We start from the raw sequence: 27,548 nt of genomic DNA on the forward strand, positions 1-27,548 counted from the left end.
TCAGCTGTCACAGCAACTGCCCTAAGTCTGCCCAGGAGGTCCCCCTCAACCCAAGCAACTGGAGCAACTTGAAGACCCCCGCACTGCCGTACAGCCCTTTCTGTGATGCCTCCAGAGCCACCAGGAATCTCTCTCCCATGGCCAGTGGGCGGCCAGAAGGAGCTGTGCCCCTGACCTGTCAGAGGGGCCAGATGCCCTCATTCCCAGCCTGTCCCTCACCCCAGGAAACTGGATCCAGAGCCCCAGGCCCTACTCCTCAACGAGAGGGGAATTCTTGGAATAGAAATGTGAGGGGTAAACAAAATAAATATAAATAAATAAATAAGGAAATGTGGGGGGTGGTGGCTCACGACTATAATCCCAGCACTCTGGGAAGCTCACTTGAGGCCAGGAGTTCAAGACCAGCCTGGACAACATAGTGAAAACCTTGTCTCTATTTTTAAAAATTAAATTTAAATTAAAAAAACAAAAAGAAAAAATTAAGGGGACAGGGGTGTGCTAGCTGGGTGGGGGCACCTAGGGACTCCCCTGTTGAAATAGTTGGGATGCAGGGCCTGTCCACAGGTGTCAGTCTGACACTGCCACAGAGCTGTTAGAGGGGAGGGAGAAGAGGGGCTACAATGAGCTAAGGCCCCTCTTAACCCCTTTCCCGAGGCCTCCCTCGAGCAGCAGCGGCCCAGGCAGCCCCAGACTTTTAAAGCAACTTTCCTGCCTCCCCCAAGTCCCTGCCCGCCTCCCCTCAAGCAGGCTGTGGCCCCCCCTTCTTAGGGTGATGTCAGCCCCGCCCCGCCCCCCGCGGGAGCACTGTGGCCAAATATGGCGAACACAGCAGCAGGCTTGGGAGCTGGGACAGACTGGGGGGGCGGGGCAGGCGGCCCCTGGCTGGGACCGCTGGCAGCTGGTGAGGGGGAGGGGAGGGGGGACGGCCCAAAGGACGTGTCAAGGAGAGAATAGGACCACCGTCCCTCCCTTCGGCTGGCTCCTAGACGCATGCGAGACTCACTTTCTAGGAACGCTCCTGGGGCAGAGGCACCAACACAGGGGCAAGTGGCACTCCCCACACACAGCCATGCACAGGAGCACACTGTGCAGAGGGGCTGTGCGAGTGCTCGGGAGGACAACCACGTGAGAATGTGCACCCCCAAGCTGAGGCACACACATGGGCAGTCGTGGGCAGGCAGCTGCCCCCGTCTGGGGGCTGGACCGGGGTCTCAGTGGAAGGGAGTCTGCAGGAGGCGTGAGCACTGGCTGCTCTGTTCTCCTAGAGACCAGCATGTGCCCGCCTTCTTCTCCCTAGATCCTCTAACTGCTGGGACCCAGGCCGGGCTGAGAGAGGAGGCTATGGCTCCCTGGACAGGTGCGGGCTGGGCTGGGGCAAATGTGGGACTCTGGCTTGGTGGAGGGGTGGGACATCTAGAGAAAGCTGACTGCGGGCGAGAGGGCAAGCCCTGGGCTGCTGGCTGATGATGCCCAGGTATCTAGAAACTCTGCCTCGCTGTGCTGTGCCATGAAGAGGGGTAGGAGAGAGAGGAGACCCAAGTGAGGGTCAAGGGGAGGGAGACCAAGGCCGGGGTGGGGCCTGAGACAGACAGGAGGGGCAGGGGAGACAGGCTGGGGGAGAGTCTGGGGCAAAGAGAAGCTGAGGTGAACCCAGAGAGAAAACAGACCAGAGACAGGAGAGTCCCAGTGAGTGACAGACAGAAAGCCCAACCCAGTGGGGGACAGACCAGAGCCCCGCAGAGTGAAGGGAGAGACCCCAGGAGAGATGTGGAGGCAGGGCGGGGGAGTGCTGGACCCTCAGACCCACAGACTGACAGACAGAGCCGGTGGGGGGTGAAGGGAGAAGGGGAGAAGGAGGGCAGGGGAGGGGCACAGACAAGGCAACCAACAAAGACCTAGAAAGAGACACACAGCAGAGAGGGGTAGACCAGAAACTCAGATATGATAGGCATCGAGGGAGGGGCAGACCAGGAGGGGATGGGGAGAAAGAAAAAGACAGGGACAAGGACAGAGACCCAGAGGCCAAGGCAAAACAGAGGGAGGGAGTGACAAGGGAGGCCACTGCCAGGGGCTGGGGCTGGCCACCATCCAGGACACCCCCACTCCCATCTCAGGGGCTCCTACCCTCCACCTCCTCTCAGAACCCCTCCCATCTGCCTCTGCAGAGGAGTCCTGTTGTACCTGTCCTGCAAACCCGCCAGCAGGCTGCAGACCCCCAGGGGACTCAGTCTGCCTTCACCCTCATCCTGACCAGCCACACCCGCTTCCCCTCTCCCAGGGCCCTCAGCCTTTCAGGCTCAGAAGGCCTCTGGGTGGAGGCAGGGATGGGGGCTAGGAGGCTGGGTGAGCAGGCTTTGGGGCCCTGGGGAAGATAAGGGGCACCTTGCTGCCCACCCCCACCCTGGGGCAAGACCTGCTGGAAGAACTGGCTGGACAGCTCCAGGGATCAGGCTGGAGCTGGGGCCGCTGCAGAGGCCCTGGTCCCCCACCCCCACAGACCCTGCAGCCTCCAGACCACCCAGCCCTGTAGCTCCCTTTAGGGGCCCCAGAGCCACTGCCTTGGTAGGAGGCACAGAAAAAGCCAGTCTGGGTGAGTGGGCACCTCCTGTCTTACCCCTTCCCCTGCACCAGCCCTGCTGGGAGGACGAGCTGAGCTGTGACCTTCCTGGGTCTAGCAGCCAGCAGTCCACCCCTGCAGGGACCCCAGCCCCCAAAGCATTCTCACTTGGAGTGAGAACATCACTCAAAATGTGGCAAGATCAGTGAAATCAGCAGTTTCCTCCCAAATCTCTGCCCTCAAACCTGAGCTGGGCTGACCAGCCGGGGGGGTCGAGGATGGGGAGGGCAGCTGAGGAGGGCTAAGGGAGGCTCCCACCCTCTCTGCCTTTTCCTCCCTCCTCCCCTACCCGCCCCACAGCGGGCCAGCTGTTCTCCAGCTGCCAGAAGCTCCCACCCTAGAAGTAGCCATGCTCTGGGGCAGCAGAGCAAGTAGGGATGTATCTGTCTCCCCCACCTCCAGCCCAAGGACCCCGGAGGGACCCTGCCAAGCAGCCACACCCTGCCAGGCTGGGGAGGGCTTCCCTCCTTCCTGGAACAGGGTCTCAATTTTTACAGGAGGAAGCAATTTGCAGAGCCCACTAGGAGGGAGGTGGGGGCCCCTCCACTCTCTCCCCACCCCCCGCCCTGCTTATTAATGTGCTTCCAATTTGGGACTGGAGATTCTCTGCCCCTCCTCCCCACACTACTTGGGAAAGGGGCTTTCTCAGGGAGCAGAGGGGGTTGGGATAGTCCCCCCAGGCCTCCTTCTGCAAAGCTCATCTCATCTGTTGTCACGCTCCTGCTCCCTGAAGCAGTATAGCGGGTAGGAGGGTGGAGACTCAGCCCTCAAGTCCCCTGTAGAGAGAAGGGCCCAGTTTCCAGACCTCCCTTCACCCCCTCCCTGGGACTGACTTATCTCCTCATCTTGTCCTGGTCCCAGGGTGGGAATCTCAGGTATCCAGTGAGAGACAGACTATAGGGGGTCACTGGGTTTCTCAGTTCTCAGTTACCATGCCAGACTCCTGGTACTCTGGGTCGCCCACTGGGCTCCCACCAGCCACTCAGTCAGTGCCCTCATGAGAGTCACGGTGTCATCTAAGAACAAATAGGTTTCCTCTGCGCCCTTCCTCTCGCTCGCATACACAGTTGCGTCACAGCCACTGTCCTGCTCATTCACTGTTACCCGCATCTCTCTCCTGCTGGGTTTTTAAAAATGTCTTTATTGTGATAAAATATACATAACATCAAGTTTACCATTTTAGCCATTTCTAAGTGTACAATTGAGAGGCATTAATTACATTCCTTCTTTGTTTTTATCAGTGTCTTTCTCATTGTCTTCCACATAGATGCCACACGTCAGGGACCACAGGCCCCCAAAAGCATCCCACAGAGCCTCCTACACGCCCTGCCTGGCACAGCCCTGGGGGTGTCACCCACACTACCCGAGAGTCCCAAACACGCTCAGATAGTGACCACCCACCCACAGCGCCAGCATCAGTCACGCCCCACGGTTTCTCTCACATACGGTGTCGCTTTCTGGTGCTCAGTGTCACCCACACACCGCATACCATATTCATGCTTGGCACATGTCGGATGGGGCCCACCTTGCTGGTACACACATCATACTGACACAGAGCTGGTCATGTTGTTTTACTCGCATGTAGTGTCACATGTAAGTCACACACAGACAAACCTGAGGCCATCTCACATGCTGCGTCACAACATGCAGGTCACAAGTGGTCACACCACAGCGTAACACATCACACAGATCGCCACTCATCCGGCTTCTCACGCACACGCGCCCGCGCGCTCACATACACACAGCATCGTGCGAGTGCGGTGTCCTTCACACGCAGGTCACTTGAGCATCAGAGCCACACCCAGTGTCATCTCCAGGTACACACAGATGGCTAGGCAGCCAGCTTCCTTCATCGGCACATCCTGGGTGATGCCCTGGCACACACAGAACATCCCCCATGCAGGTTCTCAGGTACAGAGGTGGCGGCACACCTGGACACATGAAGAGTCACCCAGTTTCTCTTATGGACGTGTATATCTGTCACACACACGAATGTCACAAAGCCACAGTTTCTCTCCTGCATACACCCAGCCCTGCACAAGTTGCTCTGACCAAGGTTCTCTTCCACACACATCCAGCCCCACAGAAGACAAGTCTCACCCACATAGAATGTCCCACTCATGGCTTCTCTCACACACATCCAGCGTCACACACAGTTGCATTCTCATTTCCCTCTAACACTTCCTGCCCTTTCAGGCCTGGCAGGGAGCACAGGAAACAATCGGCACTCTAGGAAACCCCAAGGGCTGAGGCTTTAGGGATGTGCAGGGGGATGAACCTCTCTGGCCCTAACCTCAACCTCCTGTGGGTCGGGGAAGACAGGCAGAGCCCTTTCCCTGGCAGGGTTCTCCCTGGAGGGAAGTGGCCCCTTCTGCAGACAGCCCAGGGCTGGCACAACACCAGGAGGGGAGGGGAGGGAAGGCAGGGCAAGGCCCCAGGGACAGTGCCGAGTGTGACCTGCTGACCTCCCCAGCTCTACCCAGAGGCAGATCCTCAGGGCCACCCCTGGGACCCCACAGCTTCTGCAGCCCCCATGTGGGAAGAAGAGGCTGCGACCTCCTAGCCCCTTCACAGAAAGCTGCAGCGTTTAGACCCCTGGGCTCCTCTCCCCATCCTGGGCGGGGAGGAGGAGGAGGGCAGGACCAGCGATTTCCACACTGAGCCCTGGGACCCCCACAGGTGTCTGGGAGTGGGGCAGAGGGTAGAGCCACCCAAGCGGCCTCTGAGCACCCTTTGTGCCATTCAGCCCTAACAGAACCCATGACCACTTCAGAGGCAAGATCCCCCAATCCACCAAGCCCCCCTGTCCCTTGACACCTGCCCCCCGCCACCTTTTCAGCCCTGTTCATCTGGCTGAGCTACTCCTCAGTCACCCCTTGGTTTGTCCTTGCCTTCTTCTTTGGGCCACTGGATCACCCACCCGCCTCTCCAGACCCCACCAAGTTCAGGTTCCATCATGGGAGAAGGAAGGCAAACTGGGAGACAGACTCTGGGAGGAGCTCAGAGAAAAGGGACTTGAGAAGTCATTCATTCCAAGCAGGGAAACTGAGGCCCAAAGGGGCCTGCCAAGATGGCGCAACTGGTTAAAGGTCCGGAGGGGACCAGATCCCTATTTCTTGACCACCTCTGTTGAGATATCTTCTCCTTTGATATTGTTGAGAATATCAAATCCTCCCGGTTTTAACATTCCTTCAGTTGGCAGAAAGTGCCAGGGTCTACAAACCTTTGGGTGAGGATGGGAGCAGGGCTCAGGACCCATGTGATGCTTCTGTACACTTAATGTGCTGCTCTGTCCTGGCAACCACTGACCACTCTAACAAGCCATTCCCCAGCCCAGATGCGCTCATTAGCATTAATGACGTTCCCTCCCTGGGGGGGTAGGGGAAGGCCCAAGAGCTTGGGACTCATACTGGCTCCTACCCTCTCCCTGAGGAGGGGGCATCCAGGGCCCCTGAAGTTACCCTTACTGGACAGCCTTGTCCTGGAAGATCTGTGCACTCTGCCCACTGGGTGAGCAGGGACCCAGAAGACCACAGAACCACATCCTTTAGGGAGTGCCCCTACGAGAGGGGTCTTGGTGGGAGGGGGGCTACAGGAGTCTAGAAGGGAGAGGACATAATTCCCCCAAATCTCCAACTTTTGAGGAAAGCCTCCCCTCCTTGCCCCAGGTGGCCCCAGCACTGGGGTGGAACATGTGTACAGAGAACCAGGCCACAAGAGACTGGATACGCAGAGCCGCTATGGGCACCAGCCCCTCTGAGCTGTGTCCAGCCCCTACCCCTATGCCCTGTTCTTCCGGACAACAAGTCCAGGCCTGACCTGGTTCTGCCCCTACCTGGAAAGAGGGAAGACACAGAAGAAGACAGCCCCTGAGAAGTCCGCCCCAAGGCCTCCTTCCCCCTCGCACTGAAAGAATCTCTCAGCCCTGGATCAGGGCCCCTCACCAGGAAAGTTGACAGAGCGGGGTCTCAATGACACTGCCCCAGGGCCCAGCTGGGCTGGAAAACAGATCCAGACCAGCGCTCCCAGCCCTCCCTCCCCTAGCAGGAATAAAGGGCATGACAGACAATGGTGGGGACCGGGGTAGGAAGCGGGAGACCAGCCACCCTCAAACCTTGTCAAGTCTAAACAAGGGCCCTGAGCAAGTGTGGGGAAGAAAAGGCCCCAAATCCAGACCCCTCCGAGCCAAGCTCACAGCGCTCAGGGCTGGAACTCTGAATCAGCACCCCGACGCAGGCGGCAGAACTGAAGGGAACGTGAGCCCCTCCCTGCCTCTCAGGGGACACACGGCCGGGGCGCGCGGCTTTGGTCCCAGACACCCTCCACAACCCAGCGCAGCCGCGGCACCGCGCGCAGAAACCGGCCTGGGCGCTGGGAGGCCGGGCCCGAGGCCTGCGTGGAGCTGAGGCCGGGCGGGCTCCGGGAGCGCGCGGGCCGGGAGTCCAAAGGGCGGCGGGGCCCGGGACTGGGCGCCCCGGATATGAGCTCCAGGGTGGCAGGCAGGCCCTCCACACTGTGCGGCCCCCGGATCCCCGCCCCGACCCCCCAAGCACGGACGGCGGGACAGGCGACGGCACAGGGGACACGGTCTCCCCGGCTTCCCCACCTTCCCGGACCAACTCGTCCCCGTCGCGGGGGGGTGGGGAGGGCGGGGGGCGGGGCTTCCCGGAGAGATTTTCCCCCTTCCCTCTAAACTTCCCGGCACCCCGATCCGGGGCTCCAGCTCCGGCTGGACAATAGCTCGGGGACCCAGTCCCCCTCGAGTGTCGCCCCCCCAGCCAGCCCAGCCGACCAACCAAACCACCTCTCCCGAGCGGGGCCTCCTCCCGGCGTCCGCCCGGCTTACCTGGTCCGAGCTCGCGGGGGCGCTCCGGCCGGGCCGCTCCGCCGGGCCCGAGGGAGCCGCAAGGGGGGCCGGGGAAGGGGGGTCGTGGGGAGGGGGCTGGCCGGAATGTGCGGAATGAGCCGGGCTGGAGCGGGAGGCGCCGAGCGCGGAGGAGGGAGCGAGCGGGACGGAAAGTTTGTGTTGAGGAGCCGGGGCGGGGGTGGGGGCTGCGGGAAGGAGGGGGCGGGGCGCGCAGGGGGCGGTGCTGGCCGGGAGGGGCGGGGCCGTCCAGCCGCGCTCGGGCCGCCTACCCCGCGGCCTCGCGACCCGGCCACCCCGGCTGGCGCGCGCCTGGGCGCCCCGCTCCTCGCCCGCCCGTGCGGAGCTGCCTTCCTCCCCCTGCGCTCCGGGCCTCGCCCCGCTCCCGGGCACCCGCCGGAATTTGGGGCTCCGGCCTGGGGCGGGGCCGAGGGCGGAGCCCTCGCCTCGCGGGCAGGGCTCCCGTCGGTGCCGGGGGCCGTGGGTGCCGCGTCACGAGGAGCCCGGCAGAGCCGGAGCGCACGGGCCCCGGGGCTCCCGGCCCCTCCACCCTAGTCCCGAGCCGCCAAGGCGGAGCGTACCCTCCAGCTCGCGGGCCTGCCCCCCACTCCCGGGGCCCCAGACCCGGCTCCGCCCTGGCGGCTGCGCCCGCCCTGCCGGGACCCGGTTTGTCTGGTTCTCCCCGCGTGGCTAGTTTCTCGAATTTCTTCTCCCTTTCTCCCTCTTCCCCGACCTCCGGGACCCTCCCTTTCGCCCCGGCTCCCCGGGCCCCCACGGGGGGCGTCTCGACGCTGTGCGGCCGCCGAGTTTCGGTAGGACCCGCGACGGGCGCGGGGAGGGGACGCGGGAGCGCCCGGGGCCTGGGCAGGAGTGGGACGGGGGTTGAGACTTCCAGCTCGCGCCTCGGACGCCTCCTGCCGCCTCGTTCTCCGCACGCGCTGAGGAACCACCGCTCCGCTTGGCCAAGGACGCGGCTTTATTGGGGATGTGGGTGCCTGGCCCTCGTCCCCCATCACCTACCCCCTCCTCCTAGCCCGCCCCAGCTCCTCGGAGCCCTAGCGCGGTCCCGGGGAGAGGGGAGGTTAAAACAACAATGACTACTGCTCCCGGACAGGAAGTGACTGGGGCGCGGGGAGGAGGGGGGCACAGCGGCGCAGGCGAGCTCCGAGACCAGATGTGCGGCTCCAACTCCAGATGTTCTTCATCTCCGTCCTACCCGCCGTCCGGGCTCCTCCTGCCTCGGCCTGTGCCAGGCTGGGGAGAGGACGGAGGTCACCGAGAGGCAGTGAGAGGTCAGCCCCGACACAGGAGCAGTTTTCCGCGGGAGCTTTGCTGGAGGGACCCTGCCAGCCTCCACTGAATCCTTTCCCCCACGCTGACGGGCTCTGGGGGCGCTGAGGGGCTGCTGGGGTCACTCGCAGGCCAGCTTCCCGTCGAAACTGGAGAGGGCGATGGCGAAGGCCTGCAGGGCGCACAGCGGGTACCGGTAGTCTAGGGTGAAGGCGTCCTCCGCCACGCGGCCGAACTGCAGCACGATATAGTCGGCTATGGACACAAGACGGGGTGGGGGCGGCCCGAGACCTCCTTGGACCCCCATCCTGGCAGACAGTGCCCTCAACCTTGGGGGCAGTCTGTCCCTTGCCTTGGGGCTCCAACCCTCAGCCACCATCTCAGTTACTCAACACCCATCCCTTCTTCTATCTCACTCCACACCAGCACCACGTGGCTTTGCAGTCACACTATAATCTCCTGGGGGCAGGGACCTTGCCTTTCTGCTGCTGCCACAGGCCATGCCTAGAGCCCGCACCTGATTAACTATAGGACCCTGTCAAATTTATCCAAGCCCAGCATTCTTCCTTCCCAAATTCTCTGTTGTTTCTGGCCACAGTCTTTCCTCCTATCCCCAGCCACGAAGTCCCACCTTAGACCCCAGCTCCACCCCTTGACTAGCCCCTGGTTCCCTTCCTCAGCCTCACTGGGCACCTCTCCCTTCAATGATCCAGGTTCCCAGCCCCAACCTCAGCACCTCCCCCAGGATCCATAGGGACAGGAAGTTGCTAAAAATACCCCCAAACTCAGGTGGACGAGGCTCCACCAGAAACGTGATCTGGAGAGCAGTCCCACAGCCACAGGACAGGTGGCACTGGGGGCACATCCCTAGGATGCAGTTGGGGCTCGCTCAATGTTGGTCCAACCCTGTGAACCCAGAGACTTATGGGAGATACCCTTCCATCCCCAAACTTCCTCACCCTAGTGGGAAGGAAGCCTTTCCAACCAAGGCTTGTAACAGGGACACCTTGTTTCCCTGAGTCTTCCAGGGTAGTCCTTTGACCTCACTTGAGAGAAGACACAGAGTAGGCACTCAAAAATGCTTAATATTCCCTGCCCCTAAAAGGCAACCATCTTGAAGAGATTAAGAGCATGGCCACTGGAGATCCAGACTGTCAGCTCTACCTCCTACTAGTGATGTGACCGTGGGCAAGTTGCTTAACCTCTCTGTGCCTTAGTTTCCTGCCAAATAGGGATAATAATGGCACTCTTCACAGGGACGTTGAAGGGATTTAATGATTCAGTTATCTGTAAAATCCTGAGAACAGTGCCTGGCACATAGTAAACACTGTGTAAGTTTTGTGAAATAAATTTCGAGGGCCAGTGTAACTTCCTGAAGTTGCTGAGAGACTCTGGGCAAAGGGCTGCCCTCTCTGAGCCTCAGCACTCTCTTTGAACAAAGAGGAGTTGGGCTGTCCGTGGTTTTCAGACTCTAGGAGCCAACCCTCCCTTCAACACAATCTTATCCAGAATGTCCCAGTATCTAACCCACTGCTCTGGCCAATGCTGGAATGGGAACCTGAAGTGATGAGCCCCAAGACACCTGCTTAGAATATCTGAGGCTCCTGAGAGCACAGTGTCAGTGCCTATGGAGGAGAGAGTGACCCTGTGGGATGTCCCAGCTCTCGGGATAAAGGCTGGTGTGTGTGTGTGTGAGGGGGTGAGGGGAGCTTGAATGAAGGTCAGCATCCTGGGGGTGGTGGAGAAGAGCCAGACCTGGGCCCTCAGGTACTCACGGTCATCAGCGTGGACAATCTGGAAGTTCTTGACTGAGGCCTGGGTGACCCGGCCTTGGAAGTTGAGGGTGTAGGAGCCACTGTCATCGTTCCAGACAGGTGGCTTGTTGTGCAGTTCTATGAGGCTCTCCAGCGTCTTGTTCTGCCAGCGCACCAGCAGGCCGTCACTAGCCTGGGGTGCCCCAGGGGAGTAGACAGGGAGAGGACAGTTAGAGATGGCTGAGATGGCTCAGGACTGACCGGAGAAGGGGCCTGGGCATGTGTGCACAGGGGTGTGGCCTGGACATCTTCATCCATTAGGGTATCTGAGAATAGGCTTGGCATCTGTGGCATCCTTGTGGACAGGGTTCACATCTGTGAGAATGGGGCTTTGTCTCTGGGATGTCAAAGCGGAGGGCTGGAAAATGGCAAGGGGCATCTGGCACATAGGCGCTCCATGCCATTGGTACCCAGGTGGTCTTAGGAGACAGACACACACCAGTACCTAATGACAGGATGAGCCAATCTTGGACCTGCAAAGGGCACACAGTTGAGCTGGGGAGATGGATAGGTAAATTGCAGTTAAGAGAAAGTGTACTTGGAGGAGAGTTTCTGAAAGGAAGGAGCAGGGTCTGTATAATGTGCCCTTAAGATCTTTCTTTCTTGAGTTTCCTTGTCGCCTGCTCACGTTCATGGATTAGAGTGAGTCCACTCAAGATCACCTCCAAGAAGCCTTCCTGACCCCCCATCTGATTTAGATGTCTCAGCTCTGAGTTTCCATGACACCTTGCTCTTACCATTCCTCCCACTGCACTGTAATTGGCAAAAGAGAGACCCGAAACAGCACCAGGCATTTCTTACTGGGCCCAAACAAGGGCAGGAGATGCTGCCTCTGGGGGATTTGTGTGTTTATTCCAGGCATAGGAAGGACAACTGTGGGGCCCACAGGCTGAGTGAACCCTCAAGACTGAGCCTCCCATGACTGGTGCCCTGCAGATCAGCCTGGGCCGTGACTTTCCAGCAGGGAAGGATGTGTGATCAGCTGACGGGGTATTATCTTTCATTGTAAATGAGTAAAATGACATCAGTCTCCTGTGAGGATGGGGCATGCGAGTCACCCAGAGTCTCTTAAATCCTGGACTCACTGGACCTGCAGTGCTAAAGAGCAGAGCACGGGACTGACACGTCTCTCCAGAACATCTCTCCATCTTAAACTCACACACACACACACGCAAAACAACTTTTGCTTTTTAAAATACAAGTCATGCCAAGCACAGTGGCTCACGCATATAATCCCAACACTTTGAGAAGCCGAGACGAGAGGATCACTTCAGGAATTTAAGACCAGCCTGGGCAACAAAGTGAGACCCTGGCTCTACAAAAAACTAGCCAGGTATGGTGGCATGTGCCTAGGGTCTCAGCTACATGAGAGGCTGAGGCAGGAAGCAGCACTGTTTGAAGCCAGGAGGTCGAGGCTGCAGTAAGTCATGATCATACCACTGTACTCTAGCCTGGGCTGGAGTGAGACCCAGAGTGAGACTCGGTCTCAGAAAAAAAAAAAAAAAAAAAAGGCTGGGCACAGTGGCTCAGGCCTGTAATCCTAGCACTTTGGGAGGCTGAGGCAGGTGGGTCACTTGAGGTCAGGAGTTCAAGACCAACCTGGCCATCATGGCAAAACCGCGTCTCTACTGAAAATACAAAAATTAGCTGAGCATGGTGGTATGCACCTGTAATCCCAGCTACTCGGGAGGCTGAGGCAGGAGAATCTCTTGAACCTGGGAAGTAGAGGTTGCAGTGAGTTGCGATCAGGCCATTGCACTCCAGCCTGGGTTACAGAGCGAGACTCCGTCTCAAAACAAAAACAAAAACAAAAACAAGTCATGTCACTCCTTTGCTCAAAACCCTGCTGTAGCTTCCCATTTCTCTCAGAGCAAAAATCAGTTTTAAAGACCCTGTCTACCCCTCACTTCTCTGACCTCCTCTCCCCCCAGCCACACTGGTCACCTGGTGGTTCCTCCAGTCCACCAGGGCCCCTCCTGCCACAGGACCTTTGCACTGGCTCTTCCCACTGCCCAGGTGCTCTTCCCCCAGATATCTGTAGGCTCACTCCCTCACCTTCTCATTGAGGTCTGCTTTGACAACCATATTTAATATTGAGACTTACACACTTATTATCTACCTTCCCCTGTTTGACTTTTTTCTTTTTAAATTTTTTCTTTTTATTTTTTATTATTTATTTATTTATTTATTTTGAGATGGAGTCTAGCTCTGTCACCCAGGCTGGAGTGCAGCAGCGTGATCTTGGCTCACTGCAACCTCCGCCTCCGGGGTTCAAGTGATTCTCTTGCCTCAGTCTCCTGAGTAGCTGGGATTACAGGCGCCTGTCACCATGCCCAGTTAATTTTTGTATTTTTAGTAGAGACGGGATTTTACCACGTTGGCCAGGCTGGTCTCAAACTCCTGACCTCGTGATCTGCCCAGCTTGGCCTCCCAAAATGCTGGGGTCACAAGCGTGAGCCACCATGGCTGGCAACATTTTTTTTTTAATTTTTGAGACAGAGTGTCGCTCTGTTGCCCAGGCTGGAGTGCAGTGGCGTGATCTTGCCTCACTGCAACCTCTGCTTCCCGGGTTCAAGCAATACTCCCTGCGTCAGCCTCCTGAGTAAACAGGTGAGATTACAGTTGCCCACTGCCACGCCCGGCTAATTTTTGTATATTTAGTAGAGACGGGGTTTAGCCATGTTGGCCAGGCTGGTCTCGAACTCCTGACCTCAAGTGATCCGCCCACCTTGTCCTCCCAAAGTGCTGGGGATACAGGTGTGAGCCACTGCACCTGGTCTGACATTTTTCACCATAGCACTTACCACCTTCCAGTATGCTCCATAATTTACTTATTTATCACGATTATTGTCTACTGTCACTCTCCTCCCACTAGAATGCCAGCTTCAGGGGGGCAGAGCTTTGGTTTTTTTGTTTTGTTTTGTTTTGTTTTTTATGAGATGGAGTCTTGCTCTGTCGCCCAGGCTGGAGTGCAGTGGCACCATCTCGGCTTACTGCAAGCTCCGCCTCCCAGGTTCACGCCATTCTCCTGCCTCAGCCTCCCAAGTAGCTGGGACTATAGGCGCCCGCCACCATGCCCGGCTAATTTTTTTGTATTTTTAGTAGAGACGGGGTTTCACCATGTTAGCCAGGATAGTCTCGATCTCCTGACCTCGTGATCCGCCCATCTCGGCCTCCCAAAGTGCTGGGATTACAGGCGTGAGCCACCGCGCCCGGCCCAGGGGTGCAGATCTTTGTTTTGTCCACTGATGTCTTCCAGGTGCCTAGGATAATACTTGGCACTCAATATGTGTGGTCAATGAAGATATGAATGGATGTAATATATGAATTTGATGTAAACTCCAAAAACAACCAAAAAGCCCATTGTGGTTTTTCAGTGAATTCAATTACAAAAAGCCCAAGTCCATTCCCTAGGTGGCCAGAATGAATTTGTGTTGGAGGGTGATGGATGTGCTCAGGGAGTTGGCTATTTCCTAAGCTGAGCCCCGACTCCTGTTTCTCACATAGGGAGCCAGGGGCCAGGGAGGTGCGGGGCTCACATTTCGGGGCCGGATGGGGACCCTCTCGTTCTCCGCACTCATGCCAGGAATGATGACGGTCATGCGCCGGGGGCCACGGAAGCCCAGCACGTTGGTTTCCTGGGAAGGAAACAGATGCCTGTGAGGCCAGCCCCTGTAAGGGGAGCAGCCTGGCATGGGGGACAGGTGGAGTCCTCACATAGATCACAGCTGCCAGCTCCTGCCGAAGGCTTGCCACATTAGTGCTGTACCCACGCTGTGGGTTCTGCCCGTTGTCAAAGACCGTGAAGCGGTTCCCCAGGAGGTTGGACCTGCAAGCAGGGTAGAGCTTGGGGTGGGGCTGAGGGGATCCTACATCCCTGCCCCAGGCCCCTTCCACACAGCCAAGCAGTTTAGAGAGCTTCCTACAAGGGTGGGGGTGAGTTAGGACTGAGCAATTCATGTCCCCTGCCCCAGGCTTCCCCCTATGCAGAGGTCTTTTTAAATGCTGGCCCAACCCAGGGCATGGTGGCTCAAGCTTGTAATCCCAGCACTTTGGGAGTCAGAGGAGGGAGGATCGCTTGAGTCCAGGAGTTGGAAACCAGCCTGGGCAACATGGCAGACAACGCTGTCTCTACAAAAAACACCCGCCCTCTGCCCCCCACCTGCCAAATTATCTAGGCACGGTGGCATGTGCCTGTAGTCCCAGCTACTCAGGAGGCTAAGGTGGGAGGATCACTTGAGCCTGGGAGGTCGAGGCTGCAGTGAGCCATGGCCTTGATCACATCACTGCACTCCAGCCTGGGCGACAGAGTAAGACCCAGTCTCCAAAACAAAACAAAAAAAAGGGCTGAATCTACAAGGAGACTAGGCAGTGTTAAAATCCCAACTCCATCTCTTACTATTACTAGCTGTGAGATCTTAGGCAAGGTATTTAAACTCTCTGAGCCCCAACTTCCCCATCTATAAAATGGGCTGAGCAACAGCATTTCCCTCATTTGGACAATAAGAGGATTGAATGGGTTAACATTTGGAAGTGACTTTTTTTTTCTTTATTTTTTTCAGACTGAGTCTCACTCTGTCGCCCAGGCTGGAGTGCAGTGGCATGATCTCTGCTCACTGCAAGCTCCGCCTCCCGGGTTCACGCCATTCTTCTGCCTCAGCCTCCTGAGTAGCTGGGACTACAGGGCCTGCCAGCACGCTGGGCTAATTTTTTTTTTTTTGTATTTTTAGTAGAGACGGGGTTTCGCTGTGTTAGCCAGGGTGGTCTTGATCTCCTGACCTTGTGATCCGCCCGCCTCAGCCTCCCAAAGTGCTGGGATTACAGGTGTGAGCCATCACGCCTGGCCTGGAAGTGACTTAGAATCACACCTGACACATAAATAGGCCTTATAAAAGTTTTGTTAAATACATACATTTATTTATTCATTTATTTTTGAGGCAGGGTCTTGGTCTGTCACCCAGGCTGGAAGTGCAGTGGCATGATCCCAGCTCACTGCAACCTCCCCGTCTTGGGTTCAAGAGATTCTCCCACCTCAGCCTCCCAGGTAGCTGGGACTCCAGGTGCATGCCACCACACCTGGCTAATTTTTGTATTTTTAATAGAGACGGGGTTTCACCATGTTGGCCAGGCTGATCTCGGACTCCTGACCTCAGGTGATCCACCCGCCTTGGCCTCCCAAAATGCTGGGATTACAGGCATTAGCCACTGTGCCCAGCCTAAATACATACATTTAGGAAATAAGGCCTGACTCAGGCATCCCCTTCCTTCAGCTCTCAGATTTGTGGTGAGGATTAGATGAGATGTATGGGAAGACAGCACAGGATAGTGCTGAATATATGTTCATTCACTTGATCAGTAAATACTTGTTGAGTAGCTAATATGTGTTCAGTGCTAGGAATTCAGCCCTAAACAAGGCAGGCACAGTGCCTGCCCTCGTGGAACTTATGCCCTGCTCCAAGTGAGGCCCTGGGCTGGCAGCAGTGTGGGCATCGCCTGGGTGCTCATTAAAAATGTAGACTCCCGGGCCCACCCCACACACTCAACCATTTTAACAAGCTCCCCACATGATCTATGTACATCAAAGCGAGAGGCCCTAGGCTAGGGGACGTTTCCAGGGTGCCCACTGTGGTGGGTGCTCTACCAGGCACAGCAGGACAGAGATGACGGGCTATGGCCTTTTGCTGACCCAAGTCCCCCCAGCCCCAGGAAGCCCAGCCCCACCTCAGCTTCCCGATGAAATTCTCCCCTCCTCGGGACAGATTGGTAGGGTCGATGGAGATGAGGTAATTGGCTGTCTTGCTCCGTTTTCGTTTCCTGCCAGCCAAGAGGAACACCTGGGGAAAAGGGGAGACAGGTGAGAGGATGGGAAGAGAAGGTGGGAAGGGGTGGAGGTGAGCTGCAGGGAGAAATCAGGCCCGTTTGTCCCGTGGCCCCCATGCCGGATCCCTCCACACTCCCTCCTCTGCTGCCTCTCCCCACCCACCTTCTTCTCCGTGTCCAGGTGCAGGAAGTAGGAGGGATACATGCCTCGATCCATGCCCTTTTTGTCCCGGGTCAGCCGGCAGCGCACCGTGCGGCCCTGGGGGGCAGGCCGGAGCACAAACTCCCGGGGTTCGTCCACCTCCACGGGGGGAGACGGGGCCCTCTCCTCCTTCTGGGTGGGGGCAGAGGGTACATCAGCCCCAGAGCACCAGCTCCCCCGCTCCCAGCAGGTCCCAGTGCTGAGACACGGGCAGCCCGGCAGGACAACTCACCGCTTTCTGTGTGCGGAGAGAACAGAGAGGCTGGCTAGAGCAGGGGCCGCATCCCTGGAGGCGGGGAAGCCACTGCCCCTCATGCTCCCTGGCAGCCCGGCACGGCCAAGTTAGGAGGCTCTGGGGAGCTCTGTGATTTATTTTGATTCTGCTTAGCTTGTGGATAGGAGCACACACTCTGGAGCCAGACTGTCTAGGTTCAAATCCTAGTTTCACTACTAACTGTCTTCACTGTTAAGTTTCACCACACTGTAACTCAATTTTCTCATCTGAGAAGTAGGTATAGTAGGGGTGGATACCTGGGACAGACCTTACCTATGTATTTAACACACGCTTGCATAAATTCTATCAGGGTGCCATAGTTTCAAGTACTTTCGAAATATTTACTCATTTCATCCTCTTATCACCCCACTGCGATAGTCATCCCCATTGTATAGATGAAGAAACTGAGGCTTAGAGAAGTTAAGTCACTTGCCCAAGTTCACATAACTAGTAAGAGGTGGGGCTGGGGCATGAGTTTTGTCCAATCTCCTATGAGGTCCAGAGCCTTTAGAAAGACCTTCCCTCCTTTGCACACTGTCTCAGGCAGTGAAGTGGGGCTAACAGAATGGACTGCTGTGTTCTAAGCACTATGGAAGTGTTAGCTGCTACTCTTATTGTTAGCGTATAGTAAATAATGAATACCATAGTCAAGATGATATTCATTATCATAAGATGGCACCCAGTGATCCTTGTCTCCTGGTATTTGTGCCTTTGTGTAGTCTCCTCCCACTGCATACCAGGGTTGGTCCCTGTGACCAGTAGAATATGGCAGAAGTGATCATGGGCCACTCCAAGGTTAGGTCATAAAAGATATTGTGGCTTCTATATGGCTCTCTGTCTCTTGGACTTTGGGAGAAGTTGGCTGCCATGCCATAAGAACACTCAAGCAAAAAAAAAAAAAAAAAAGAACACTCAAGCAGCCTCCAGGAGAGGTCCCTGTAGGAAGGAACTGAGATCTCCAGCTAACACCTACCACAGGGAACTATTTTAGAAGTGGATCCTTCATTTCCAGTGAAGCCTTCAGAGTGACCGAAGCCCCAGCTGACATTTTGACTGCAGCTTCCTCCGAGACCCTGAGCCAGAACTACTCTGCTAAGCCACTCCTAGATTTCTGGCTCTCAGAAATTGAATAAGAAAGTAAATGTTGTTTTAAGATGCTCAGTTTGGGGTGATTTGTTACATAGCAATGCATAGTTAACACATGAATGAATATGTAAGCTCACTTTGCTCATTGAGAAACTCCTAAGAACAATTTGGTGACATAAAGCCCTAGGGTGGCCTGGTGACCCCACAACAGCCCCTTCTGTTCTCACAAACCTGGTGCCCTTTGTCCTCATGTTCTATCCCTCACAGGAAGGGAGCCAAGAGTCTAAGCCCAACTTTTCCAACAGAGGCAAGCATGGACTGCCAGCCTGGGTGTGTGCATTTGAGGGTTCAATGCTATTTGGGAGCCACGAAGAATCCACAAAGATGTGCTGTGGTTGGCCATTTTTTAAAATTTATTTTTTATTTTTTTGAGATGGAGCCTCGCTCTTGTTGCCCAGGCTGGAATGCAGTGGCGTGATCTCAGCTCGCTGCAGCCTCCACCTCCTGGGTTCAAGTGATTCTCCTGCCTCATCCTCCTAAGTAGCTGGGACTACAGGTGCGCATCACCATGCCCCGATAATTTTTGTATTTTTAGTAGAGATGGGGTTTCACCATCTCTACTATTCGCCAGGCTGGTTTGAACTCCTGACTTCAAGTGACCCATCTGCCTCCTCCTCCCAAAGTGCTGGGATTACAGGCATGAGCCACTTTGCCTGGCCATGGCTGTTTTTGTTGAGCACAGGTTTGCAGTGTGTTTGAGGGAGGCTGATGTAGAGCAGTGAACCCTCAGCTCAGGGACAAGTGATCACCTGTTCTCTACTCTAGGTTGTTCCAGAAGAAACCTGGGAAACAAAAGACTATGTTTGGAACACGATGTGGAGAAAGCCAGAACTTATTCAAACACTTCAGCAGCTGCAAATTTCAAGAGCCTACTGTACTGAAGGCTGTTCTGCAGTTACATTCCCCTCTGGGAGACAGTAAACTGGCCTTTCAGTTTGTACATCAGCATCTGGTGATCTTGGTTAATGTGAATCAGTCCCCCTAGACCTGACCACTCCTGCACAAACTAATAAACCTACAAAGCTAAAATCCAGGCCCTGTCCTCGTGGTGATCTTCCCACTGGGAGAAACCTGTTCCTTGAAGACTTTTGTTACTTTCTGTCAGTTGGACCTCCCTCTCCTGCTTACTCCAGCTTTTGTGTGTTGGTGTCTGAGTCCTGTTTGGGAGCAGGGGCAATATTCAAAATATTTAACAACCTGTTCGCCATGGAGATGCATACTGGTAAGCTTGGAGGAGAAACAGGGAGGCTCCTGATGGGCAGTATTAACCCTTTCGTTGCTGGAGTGTTTAGTTGCTGGGAGGTTGGGAGGTCCTGGGTAAGGTGAGTGAAAGCGCCTGGGGAGCTCAGGGCTGTAGGGTGGAAACATTTTAACAACCGGTGCAGCTGACTGTCAGTCAGTACTCATCTGCCTCTCTGCCTGTGTGCTCCTCCTCCCTGGCACAGAAAACATGGTGGGGGCGTGGGGACATCTCTGGCTGTCTGATGGTTATGCTCCAGAGGGGAGGCCTCAGAGAGCCCAGATGACATAAGGCCCTTGCATGGCCAGTCCTAGCCTGGTGACCCCACAAACGCCTCCTCTGTTTGCACAAATCTGGTTTCCTTTGTCCTTATATCCTGTCACAAGAGGGGGAGCCAAGGTTCTAACCTCAAGTGGCTCCAAGCCCCCACCCTCTAGGCTCCCAAGTCCAGGCCCCTGCCTCTGCTCCCTGAAGGGACCTCAGCCCCCTGCCCCTCTGGGCCCCAACCTTTTTGCCTTTTCCTTTGGCTTTGCCCTTTTGATTGCTCTTCTTTATCACCGTAGCTGCCTCCTCCTCCTCTTCTTCCTCCTTCCTCGCGCCTTTGGGAGTGCCTGAGCGTGGAGGGGGAAACAAGGCTGTGAACTCCTCACCCTGGTTTGCAAAGTGCTTCCAACACCCATGTCTCACTTGGATGCTCCCCACAACCACAAGAGAGTCGACCCCATGTTATTATTAGAGCCCAAAAAGGCTAAGACACCTGCCTGAGACCGCATAGCTATCAAAGCGGGGGTCAAGATGCCCTGCACGTTGTCTGACTCTAGACCTGGCAAACTCCTTACCTAGCACTGTCTTGTATGCTGTAAGGACCCTCTAGCTCCCCGCCCCCAGGACCACCTCAAGATGTCACCACACCAGAAGCCCTTGCCATCCACCTTTCTTCTTCAGGGCTTTCTTGTCAGGACTGCCTTCCCCAACCAGAAACATGGCTGCTGGGCTCTTCCTCGCACTGGCTGGGCTCCCTGAGGGGTCCTTGTCGGCCTCCCCAGACCCTGCATGTGTGGATGTGAAAGCGTCACAACCCCCACCGCAACTGGAGTCCCCTGTTCCTCCCTAGGCTGGGCTCACCTTTCTTCTTGGTCTTTCTCATCTTGGTCCCCTCCCCTGCTGGAGCTTCCTTATTCCTAACACGCAGAGGTTTCGGTGGGGGGTCAGGGCTTCCCAGGTCTCCTGGAAATGGAAGATGGGGGTCAGGCAAAGAAGGTGTCTACTGGGGCTGAAGGCTGCCTTCCAACCCTCTTGTCCTGCCTATAGTCCCCAGGGAGGCTGAAAGCTTGACAGGGGCCCACAGCCTGCCTTCTTTTTCTTTTTTTTTTTGAGACAGTCTCACTGTTGCCCAGGCTGGAATGCAGTGGCAGGATCTCGGCTCACTGCAACCTCCACCTCCAGGGTTCAAGTGATTCTTGTGCCTCAGCCGCCCAAGTAGCTGGGATTACAGGCGCGCGCCACCACCCCTGGCTAATTTTTGTATTGACTTCTGCTCATTTTGGTTTTTCTTTCCCTGAGGCCAAAAAAGCTCTGGACAAAGACCAGGAGCTTAACAAGCAGTTCCCGAATGAATGAACACCAGGCCTTCTAACCGAGCCTCTGAATCCTGCCTTTTGTCCCATGTCCTCCAGGAAACCTTCTCTGGTCACCACTACAGAGTGTGCTATCTCTGCTTCAGAGGCCCAAGGTCCTAGCTCTAGGCCAGGCTGCTGGTCCCTAACAGGTAATGTGCCCAGGCCAGGACACCATCACAGCATTGATTCATTGATTTCTTTTTACTGTAATCACTTTGATACTTTTATAAAAATGATAACAATTTCCACTGAGTTAAAACAAAAACTAAACAAAAATCACAAAGAAAACTAGAATCCTCTGTCCTCCTCTGCCTCACAGAGCTCAAGGGGCAGGGGCAGTGGGGCCAGGGGTGGAGGCATATATTGGTCTATGTCCTTAAGGACCATCGTGGGGAGAAATTATCAGAGGAAAAACCCTCCGGTCACAGCACTGGGTTCATTTTGAGGCCTCAATCGCTGTGTCTCAGTGAGACGCCAAGCCCTCCAAGGACAGGGCTGTTCTGCTTCCCTGTGAGCTCTCTCAGCACCCTCAGCACCCACCCCTTGGGCCCTGGGCCTTGGCCCTCCTCTCCTTCAGGTCTGCGGAGCTCTTCTCTCTCAGGGGCTTCTTGGGAGGCAGAAGGATTTTCTCTTTCTTTTCCTCTGCCTCCTCTTCCTCGTCCTCCTCGTCCTCCTCTTCCTCCTCCTCCTCTGCAGGTAGAAACTCTTCATAATGGGGGTTTGAGCCGGGCCCTCCTTATCTGGGGAGCCCAGTTCCTCCAGACTGCTGGGAAGTGGTGCATGGGCACCAGAAGGGGAGCCTGCCCTTCTGAAACAAGAACCGGAGACCTGGCACCTTCCCAGAAGAATGAGGGTGACTGGCAGCCTTCAGGGTCTGCAAATCAGGGGAGTGGCTGGGGTTGGAGGAATCCTGTCCTGGGGAAATGCCCTCCCTCTCTCCTCCTGAGACCCTCCTCTCCTTACACGCTCGCCTTGCCTCCTTTCCCCATCTCCCTGCATCCACTGTGCTTCTCCCTGACCTTGTCTGTTTCTGACCTTGAGTCAGACCCATCTGGGCTACTTCTGGCTCCTAACTGCTGGTTAAGGCAAAAACCCTTAACGGCTCTATGACTCAGTTTCTCCATCTGTACAATGGTGGAGGGGGGGAACAAAGCACCCTCTCATAGTTGGTGCTTAGCACAATACCTGGCTCAAAGATAAGGCCAGAAAAGTGGGGGCTATTTGACTACAGTTGTTTTCTGCCTCTCTGGGCCGTTCCCGTCCAGCCAGCCCCTTCTCTCCTTAGCTCCACCGCCCCCTCACCCGCGTCCCTGGGGCCCTCTCTCACCGTCCTCCGCGTCTGGGGCACGGGCTACCAGAAAGGTTTCCCGGGGGTCGCGCTTCTTGGCCTCGGGGTCCCTGAGGAACCTGGCGTAGACCGTCTGCGGCGCCCGGGCCTGGGCTGGGTCTGGGGAAGGCTCCTCCCGCGGCCTCCCCGTCCGCCCAGCTGAGCCGAGATGCGGGGTTCAGACAGGGTCCCATCCGCGGGTCCGCGAGGCAGCGCCTCTACCCGCTACCCCCAAGCCTGGGCGCACCCCCTCGGGCTCCTCACCCTAGGGATCTCCCCTGGGCTTGGGTTTCCACTTTCAACACTTCTCCCCGGCTTCCATTCAGCTTCCCACCCCCTTCTACCCCAACGCCACCCCCTTCTACACCAACCCCAACCCCAACCCCAACCCCAATCCCTCCCCTCTCATCACTCCCCGCCCCCTCCTCCCCCACCCCGTTCCAGGGCTCGGCGACACCCGCGCCGGCCCTCAAGCCCCTCCCTTCCGCAGCCCACACCCTGGGGGTCCACCCGGGCTCTGCACCCCGCCCACCTCCGGGCTTCCGGGGCTTGGATCCCGTGGGGCAGGGGGATTCGGGGGCCTCCGTCCTCTTCTTCCTTAGCCTCTGTGCCGGGGCGGGTCGCTGCGGAACGGGGGTCAAGAGGAGGTCGAGGAAGGAAAGGGGGGCGCTGAGGCCCGCCCATCCCCCTCTAATCCCTTGAGCCGCCAGAAATAACCGCAGATTATCCGGGGGGAACTGCAGCCCCCTTCTTGGAGTGAGGCAGGATGACCCCTTCCATGCATCGTGGCCATATCCAATGCTCCAAAGTCCCTATTCCTTCCCTGGAAACCCCAAGTCCCCAAACAGCCCTTTCTCCCCCCAGATCTCCAGACATGCAACCCCCAGACCCTGCTAAGGGGGACCTGTCCCACCCCTAGACCCCCTACCCTGCGTGGGTTTACGCACAGCGGGGACATCTTTCTGCTTCCTTTCCAAGTGGGGTGGCATACCTGTTTGGGGCGCCGCGGGGCCTCCGGGCTCAGGCTTTCTTCTTCATGCCCACTGAGGGTAGCAAAGGGATCAGCCTGTCTCCCTTCCCCTTCCCTCCCCATCCCACCCACTCCCCATCCCTCCATCTAGGCCCCCCAGGGTTCAGGTGCCACGAACTGGGGGCCTTCCAGACCTGTCAGAGGCCCACACCTCTCGGAGGGTTTCATCCCGCAGAGGCATGGTGCCTTTGCCTATCGCACCCCTTTCTCTGCAGGTCTAGGAGCCTCCCTCCCGACTCCTGCTAATCTCGGCTCAACTTCACCCCCCTTCCCCCTGCTCAAGGAGTGGAGGCCTGGCCGCGCTGTGGGAGGTGCTACAGCCCACGACCCTCCCCTGCTAGGCCCAGGCCACTGGGGGAAGAATCTCAACTCCAGTTCTTCTCAGATCCCCAGCAGCCTGCAGGATGGCCACCAGCTCCACCTGCCCCGAGAAGCCCCCAGAAGCTTGGGGTGAGAGGGGCCGATTAGTCATTTGTCAATGGGATGTGGAAGAAAACATTAGACTGGATCCTGTATTTATCTTTATTTCTCACAAAAAATAAGAACTAGAGCCAGGTGCGGTGGTTTACACCTGTAATCCCAGCACTTTGGGAGGCTGAGACAGGTGGATCATTTGAGGTCAGGAGTTCGAGGCCAGCCTGGCCGGCACAGTGAAACCCAGTCTCTACTAAAAATTCAAAAATTAGCCGGGTGCGGTGGCTCACCCCTGTAATCCCAGCACTTTGGGAGGCCGAGGCAGACGGATCACAAGGTCAGGAGATCGAGACTATCCTGGCTAACATGGTGAAACCTCATCTCTACTAAAAATGCAAAAATTAGCCGGGCATGGCGGCAGGCACCTGTAGTCCCAGCTACTCAGGAGGCTGAGGCAGGAGAATGGCGTGTACCTGGGAGGCGGAGCTTGCAGTGAGCGGAAATCATGCCACTGCACTCCTGCCTGGGCAACAGAGTGAGACTCCGTCTCAAAATAAATAAATAAATAAATAAAAAATTAGCTGGGCATCGTGGTGGGCACCTGTAGTCCCAGCTACTGGGGAGGCTGAGGCAGGAGAAGCACTTGAACCTGGGAGGCGGAGGTTGCAGTGAGCCGAGATCTTGCCAATGCACTCCAGCCTGGCCAAAAAGAGCAAGACTACATCTCAGAAAAAAAAAAAAAAAAAAGAATATGTCTGTATTGGAGGTATACCCTTAACTCTTTTTCTTTTTTCACTGATAGGGGACATGCTTTTGTGGTATTGTTTTGTTTTGTTTTAGACAGAATTTTGCTCTTGTCACCCAGGCTGGAGTGCAGTGGCACGATCCTGGCTAATTACAGTAAATCCATATCAAATGGAACTTTCTAAAATACTATTTCTTCGGTTGCCACCTTTGTTCAAAAACATTCATTGGCTCCCTACTGCCTAAGGATTAAGTTTAAATGTGTTGGGTTGACATTCAAGGCTCTCCCTGATCTGGCCCCAGTCTGCCTTTCTAACCACAGGGTTATCCCAAGCCATACTCTTCATCCAGCCACAGAGGTTTCCTTACTGCCTTTACAGTTCTGTCCTCCATGCCTTTGCTCAGGCTGTTCCCTCCCGGAACGCCCTCCCTATTCCATGAAACCTATCCAACTCTAAACAGTCCTCAAGTCGCCACTTCGGAGAGGCCTCAGTCCTCAGTTGGCTCTGACCATATAATAATAATAGCATTTATTGTCCACCTACTGTGGCTTGCTCCCATTCTGACTCCACCCTCACAATAATATTTATGAGACAGACATTAACACCCTGATATTAGGGCAAGGAGCAGTGGCTTATGCCTGTAATCCCAGCACTTTGGGAGGATCACTTGAGCCCAGGAGCTCAAGACCAGGCTGAGCAACATAGTGAGACTTTGTCTCTACAAAAAATTTAAAAATTAGCTGAGCAATGTGGTACATGCCTGAGGTCCCAGCTACTTGGGAGGCTGAGGCAGGAGGATGACTTGAGCCCAGGAGGCAGAGGCTGCAGTGAGCTAAGACAGTGCCACAGCACTCCAGCCTGGGCAATGGAGTGAGACCCTGTCTCAAAAACAAAACCAAACAACCAAACAACCAAACGAAAACACCCTGATATTAAAGGTGAGGAAACTGACAGCTGAGTGTCAGTCAACAAGTATTTCCTGAGCACCTATTGTGTGCCAAGCGCTATGCTAAATAATGGTCATACAGAGATGAACAACATGATGTGGTCCCCGCCCTCGTGCAGCTTACATGCTTGTGAGAGAGACAGATAGTAGAGACATAAATACCCAAATTAGTGATAATGATCTCATTATTATTAGTTGTGAGAAATGCCAAGAAGGAAAGGAACTGGGCTCCACGAGACCAGCAGGTGGGTTCCAGTCTGGATTTAGAGTACAGGCAAGGCTGCCTGAGGAAGGAAGGTTTCGTTTTGTTTTGTTTTGTTTTTTGAGATGGAGTCTTGTTCTGTCACTCAGGCTGGAGTGCAATGGCACGATCTCAGCTCACTGCAACCTCTGCCTCCCAGGGTCAAGCAATTCTCCTGTCTCAGCCTCCTGAGTAGGTGGGATTACAGGCACCTGGCTATGTTTTGTATTTTTAGTAGACAAGGGGTTTCACCATGTTGGCCAGGCTGATCTCAAACTCCTGACCTCAAGTGGTCCGCCTGCCTTGGCCTCACAAAGTGCTGGGATTACAGGCATGAGCTACCATGCCCTGCCCTGAGGAAGGAATTTTTTTTTTTTTTTTTGACATGGAGTCTCACTCTTGTCACCCAGGCTGGAGTGCAGTGGTGCAATCTGAGCTCACTGCAACCTTCGCCTCCCAGATTCAAGCAATTCTCCCGCCTCAGCCTTCTGAGTAGCTGGGACTACAGGCACCCGCCACCACGCCTGGCTAATTTTTTTTTTTTTTTTTTTTTTGTAGTTTTGGTAGGGATGGGGTTTCACCATGTTGGCCAGGCTGGTCTCGAACTCCTGACTTCTAGTGATCCGCCCACCTCGGCCTCCCAAAGTGCTGGGATTACAGGCCTGAGCCACCGTGCCTGGCCAAGGAAGGCATTTTTAAACTGAAATCTGAAGGAATTTTTTTTTTTTTGAGACGGAGTTTTGCTCTTGTCTCCCAGGCTGGAGTGCAATGGCGTGATCTTGGCTCACTGCAACCTCTGCCTCCTGGGTTCAAGTGATTCTCTCCTGCCTCAGCCTCCCAAGTAGCTGGGATTACAAGCGTGTGCCACCATGCCTGGCTAATTTTTGTATTTTTAGTAGAGATGGTGTTTCACCACCTTGGCCAGGCTGGTCTCAAACTCCTGACCTCAGGTGATCCGCCTGCCTCAGCCTCCCAAAGTGTTGGGATTACAGGCATGAGCCACTGCACCCAGCCTGAAGGATCTTGAAGGCTAGAAAAGAGAATGTTCCAGGCACAAGGCACAGCATGTGCAAACTGTTTTCAGGCAGCAAAGAACTTGGCACACTGGAGCAGGACTGCCCCCTGGACCGGGACAAGAGTAGTCCTGCCTGCGACCTGCACTTCAGAGGGCTCCTGAGACTTGCAAATGCCAAACAGATACATTGCTAAGAACTGTCTCACAGTTGGGCAAGGTGGCTCACGCCTATAATCCCAGCACTTTGGGAGGCCGAGGTGGCCAGATCACTTGAGGTCAGGAGTTCGAGAGCAGCCTGGCCAACATGGTGAAACCCTGTCTCCACTAAAAATACAAAAATCAGCCAGGTGTGGTCGTGGGCACCTGTAATCCCAGCTATGCGGGAGGCTGAGACAGGAGAATCCTTGAATCCGGGAGGCGGAGGTTGCAGTGAGCCAAGATTGCGCCATTGCACTCCAGCCTGGGCAGCAAGAATGAAACTTCGTCTCAAAAAAAAAAAAAAAAAAAAAAAAAAAGAAAGAACTAAGAACTGTCTCACGAGGGGTCTGGGGCTCAGTGCTGACCTGGCAGGACTGTAAGAACATCCACCCTCTGACACAGCTCAGGCCCCAGGGACACTTCTCCAGTTTCTCACCTTCTGTCCTCAAAACTACAGGTAAAGCTGGGTGTGGTGGCGCATGCTGGTGCAGCTACTCAGGAGACTGAGGCAGGAGGATTGCTTGAGCCCAAGAGGTCGAGGCTGCAGTGAGCTGTGATTGCACCACTGCACTCCAGCCTGGGTGACAGAGCACCACATCCTCTCTGAAAAAAAGTAGAACGAAAACACAGGTACCTGCATCCAAATCTGGGAGAGATATGTGGGTTGAGCTGCAGTGACGTCAGAGATGGAAACTACTTTGGAGTGAGGGGAGGATTTGAGCTGCAGAAGCTCTTAGGCGAAAGA

General features: G+C 55.7%; 2 protein-coding genes and 1 long non-coding RNA gene across 5 annotated transcripts in view, besides 14 other annotated features; 1 reads left to right on the forward strand and 2 right to left on the reverse strand.

Annotated features, from left to right (window-relative positions):
* Positions 1–9: part of an enhancer, noted in NCBI's record as "H3K27ac-H3K4me1 hESC enhancer chr6:35456645-35457220 (GRCh37/hg19 assembly coordinates)", that runs on past the window's edge. NCBI's record gives its function as "activates a minimal SCP1, AML or CMV promoter by ChIP-STARR-seq in primed H9 embryonic stem cells {active_cell/tissue: H9 hESC(primed)}" and the evidence as "EXISTENCE:reporter gene assay evidence [ECO:0000049][PMID:30033119]".
* Positions 1–3,392: part of an enhancer, noted in NCBI's record as "VISTA enhancer hs1887", that runs on past the window's edge. NCBI's record gives its function as "enhancer in: heart[4/5]" and the evidence as "EXISTENCE:transgenic organism evidence [ECO:0001131][PMID:17130149]".
* Positions 1–3,463: part of a biological region, named in NCBI's record as "VISTA enhancer hs1887", that runs on past the window's edge.
* The window catches only part of TEAD3 (TEA domain transcription factor 3), a 23,483-nt gene extending 15,838 nt beyond the window's left edge, over positions 1–7,645 (reverse strand). For both annotated transcript variants that reach the window (NM_001395214.1, NM_003214.4), the window contains exon 1: positions 7,464–7,645. The gene's annotated coding sequence lies outside the window, so the exon portion shown is untranslated. The remainder of the gene's footprint in view (positions 1–7,463) is intronic.
* Positions 10–585: an enhancer, noted in NCBI's record as "H3K27ac-H3K4me1 hESC enhancer chr6:35457221-35457796 (GRCh37/hg19 assembly coordinates)". NCBI's record gives its function as "activates a minimal SCP1, AML or CMV promoter by ChIP-STARR-seq in naive H9 embryonic stem cells {active_cell/tissue: H9 hESC(naive)}" and the evidence as "EXISTENCE:reporter gene assay evidence [ECO:0000049][PMID:30033119]".
* Positions 586–1,161: an enhancer, noted in NCBI's record as "H3K27ac-H3K4me1 hESC enhancer chr6:35457797-35458372 (GRCh37/hg19 assembly coordinates)". NCBI's record gives its function as "activates a minimal SCP1, AML or CMV promoter by ChIP-STARR-seq in naive H9 embryonic stem cells {active_cell/tissue: H9 hESC(naive)}" and the evidence as "EXISTENCE:reporter gene assay evidence [ECO:0000049][PMID:30033119]".
* Positions 2,314–2,889: an enhancer, noted in NCBI's record as "H3K27ac-H3K4me1 hESC enhancer chr6:35459525-35460100 (GRCh37/hg19 assembly coordinates)". NCBI's record gives its function as "activates a minimal SCP1, AML or CMV promoter by ChIP-STARR-seq in primed H9 embryonic stem cells {active_cell/tissue: H9 hESC(primed)}" and the evidence as "EXISTENCE:reporter gene assay evidence [ECO:0000049][PMID:30033119]".
* Positions 2,890–3,463: an enhancer, noted in NCBI's record as "H3K27ac-H3K4me1 hESC enhancer chr6:35460101-35460674 (GRCh37/hg19 assembly coordinates)". NCBI's record gives its function as "activates a minimal SCP1, AML or CMV promoter by ChIP-STARR-seq in primed H9 embryonic stem cells {active_cell/tissue: H9 hESC(primed)}" and the evidence as "EXISTENCE:reporter gene assay evidence [ECO:0000049][PMID:30033119]".
* Positions 5,889–6,674: an enhancer, noted in NCBI's record as "H3K27ac-H3K4me1 hESC enhancer chr6:35463100-35463885 (GRCh37/hg19 assembly coordinates)". NCBI's record gives its function as "activates a minimal SCP1, AML or CMV promoter by ChIP-STARR-seq in naive H9 embryonic stem cells {active_cell/tissue: H9 hESC(naive)}" and the evidence as "EXISTENCE:reporter gene assay evidence [ECO:0000049][PMID:30033119]".
* Positions 7,453–7,502: a silencer, noted in NCBI's record as "silent region_17093". NCBI's record gives its function as "represses an Ori minimal core promoter by ATAC-STARR-seq in GM12878 lymphoblastoid cells {active_cell/tissue: GM12878}" and the evidence as "EXISTENCE:reporter gene assay evidence [ECO:0000049][PMID:35858748]".
* Positions 7,621–8,551: an enhancer, noted in NCBI's record as "H3K27ac-H3K4me1 hESC enhancer chr6:35464832-35465762 (GRCh37/hg19 assembly coordinates)". NCBI's record gives its function as "activates a minimal SCP1, AML or CMV promoter by ChIP-STARR-seq in naive H9 embryonic stem cells {active_cell/tissue: H9 hESC(naive)}" and the evidence as "EXISTENCE:reporter gene assay evidence [ECO:0000049][PMID:30033119]".
* Positions 7,683–7,812: a silencer, noted in NCBI's record as "silent region_17094". NCBI's record gives its function as "represses an Ori minimal core promoter by ATAC-STARR-seq in GM12878 lymphoblastoid cells {active_cell/tissue: GM12878}" and the evidence as "EXISTENCE:reporter gene assay evidence [ECO:0000049][PMID:35858748]".
* Positions 7,823–8,152: a silencer, noted in NCBI's record as "silent region_17095". NCBI's record gives its function as "represses an Ori minimal core promoter by ATAC-STARR-seq in GM12878 lymphoblastoid cells {active_cell/tissue: GM12878}" and the evidence as "EXISTENCE:reporter gene assay evidence [ECO:0000049][PMID:35858748]".
* Positions 8,440–23,462, reverse strand: TULP1 (TUB like protein 1). Of its 2 annotated transcripts, NM_003322.6 has the most exons (15): positions 23,378–23,462; positions 23,205–23,256; positions 22,746–22,836; positions 22,214–22,372; positions 21,427–21,576; positions 20,393–20,494; positions 20,200–20,316; positions 19,775–19,878; positions 16,840–16,845; positions 16,569–16,739; positions 16,307–16,419; positions 14,303–14,414; positions 14,125–14,223; positions 10,547–10,718; positions 8,440–9,026 (listed from the first exon to the last, which is right to left on the reverse strand). In NM_003322.6, exons 1-15 carry the CDS (start codon positions 23,422–23,424, stop codon positions 8,893–8,895), a joined length of 1,629 nt encoding a protein of 542 aa, NP_003313.3. In that variant the 5' UTR covers positions 23,425–23,462; the 3' UTR covers positions 8,440–8,892. The 2 variants fall into 2 exon arrangements, with proteins under 2 accessions (NP_003313.3, NP_001276324.1); NM_001289395.2 differs by lacking the exon at positions 22,214–22,372.
* Positions 8,552–9,481: an enhancer, noted in NCBI's record as "H3K27ac-H3K4me1 hESC enhancer chr6:35465763-35466692 (GRCh37/hg19 assembly coordinates)". NCBI's record gives its function as "activates a minimal SCP1, AML or CMV promoter by ChIP-STARR-seq in naive H9 embryonic stem cells {active_cell/tissue: H9 hESC(naive)}" and the evidence as "EXISTENCE:reporter gene assay evidence [ECO:0000049][PMID:30033119]".
* Positions 8,699–19,060, forward strand: LOC124901309 (uncharacterized). Its single transcript, XR_007059561.1, has 2 exons — positions 8,699–8,773; positions 18,793–19,060. It is a non-coding gene; the product is annotated as an uncharacterized LOC124901309 (long non-coding RNA).
* Positions 18,927–19,127: a silencer, noted in NCBI's record as "peak5766 fragment used in MPRA reporter construct". NCBI's record gives its function as "represses an SCP1 promoter by STARR-seq MPRAs in K562 erythroleukemia cells {active_cell/tissue: K562}" and the evidence as "EXISTENCE:reporter gene assay evidence [ECO:0000049][PMID:32103011]".

This window comes from Homo sapiens, chromosome 6, assembly GCF_000001405.40.
Source record: "Homo sapiens chromosome 6, GRCh38.p14 Primary Assembly".
Lineage (NCBI taxonomy): Eukaryota > Metazoa > Chordata > Mammalia > Primates > Hominidae > Homo > Homo sapiens.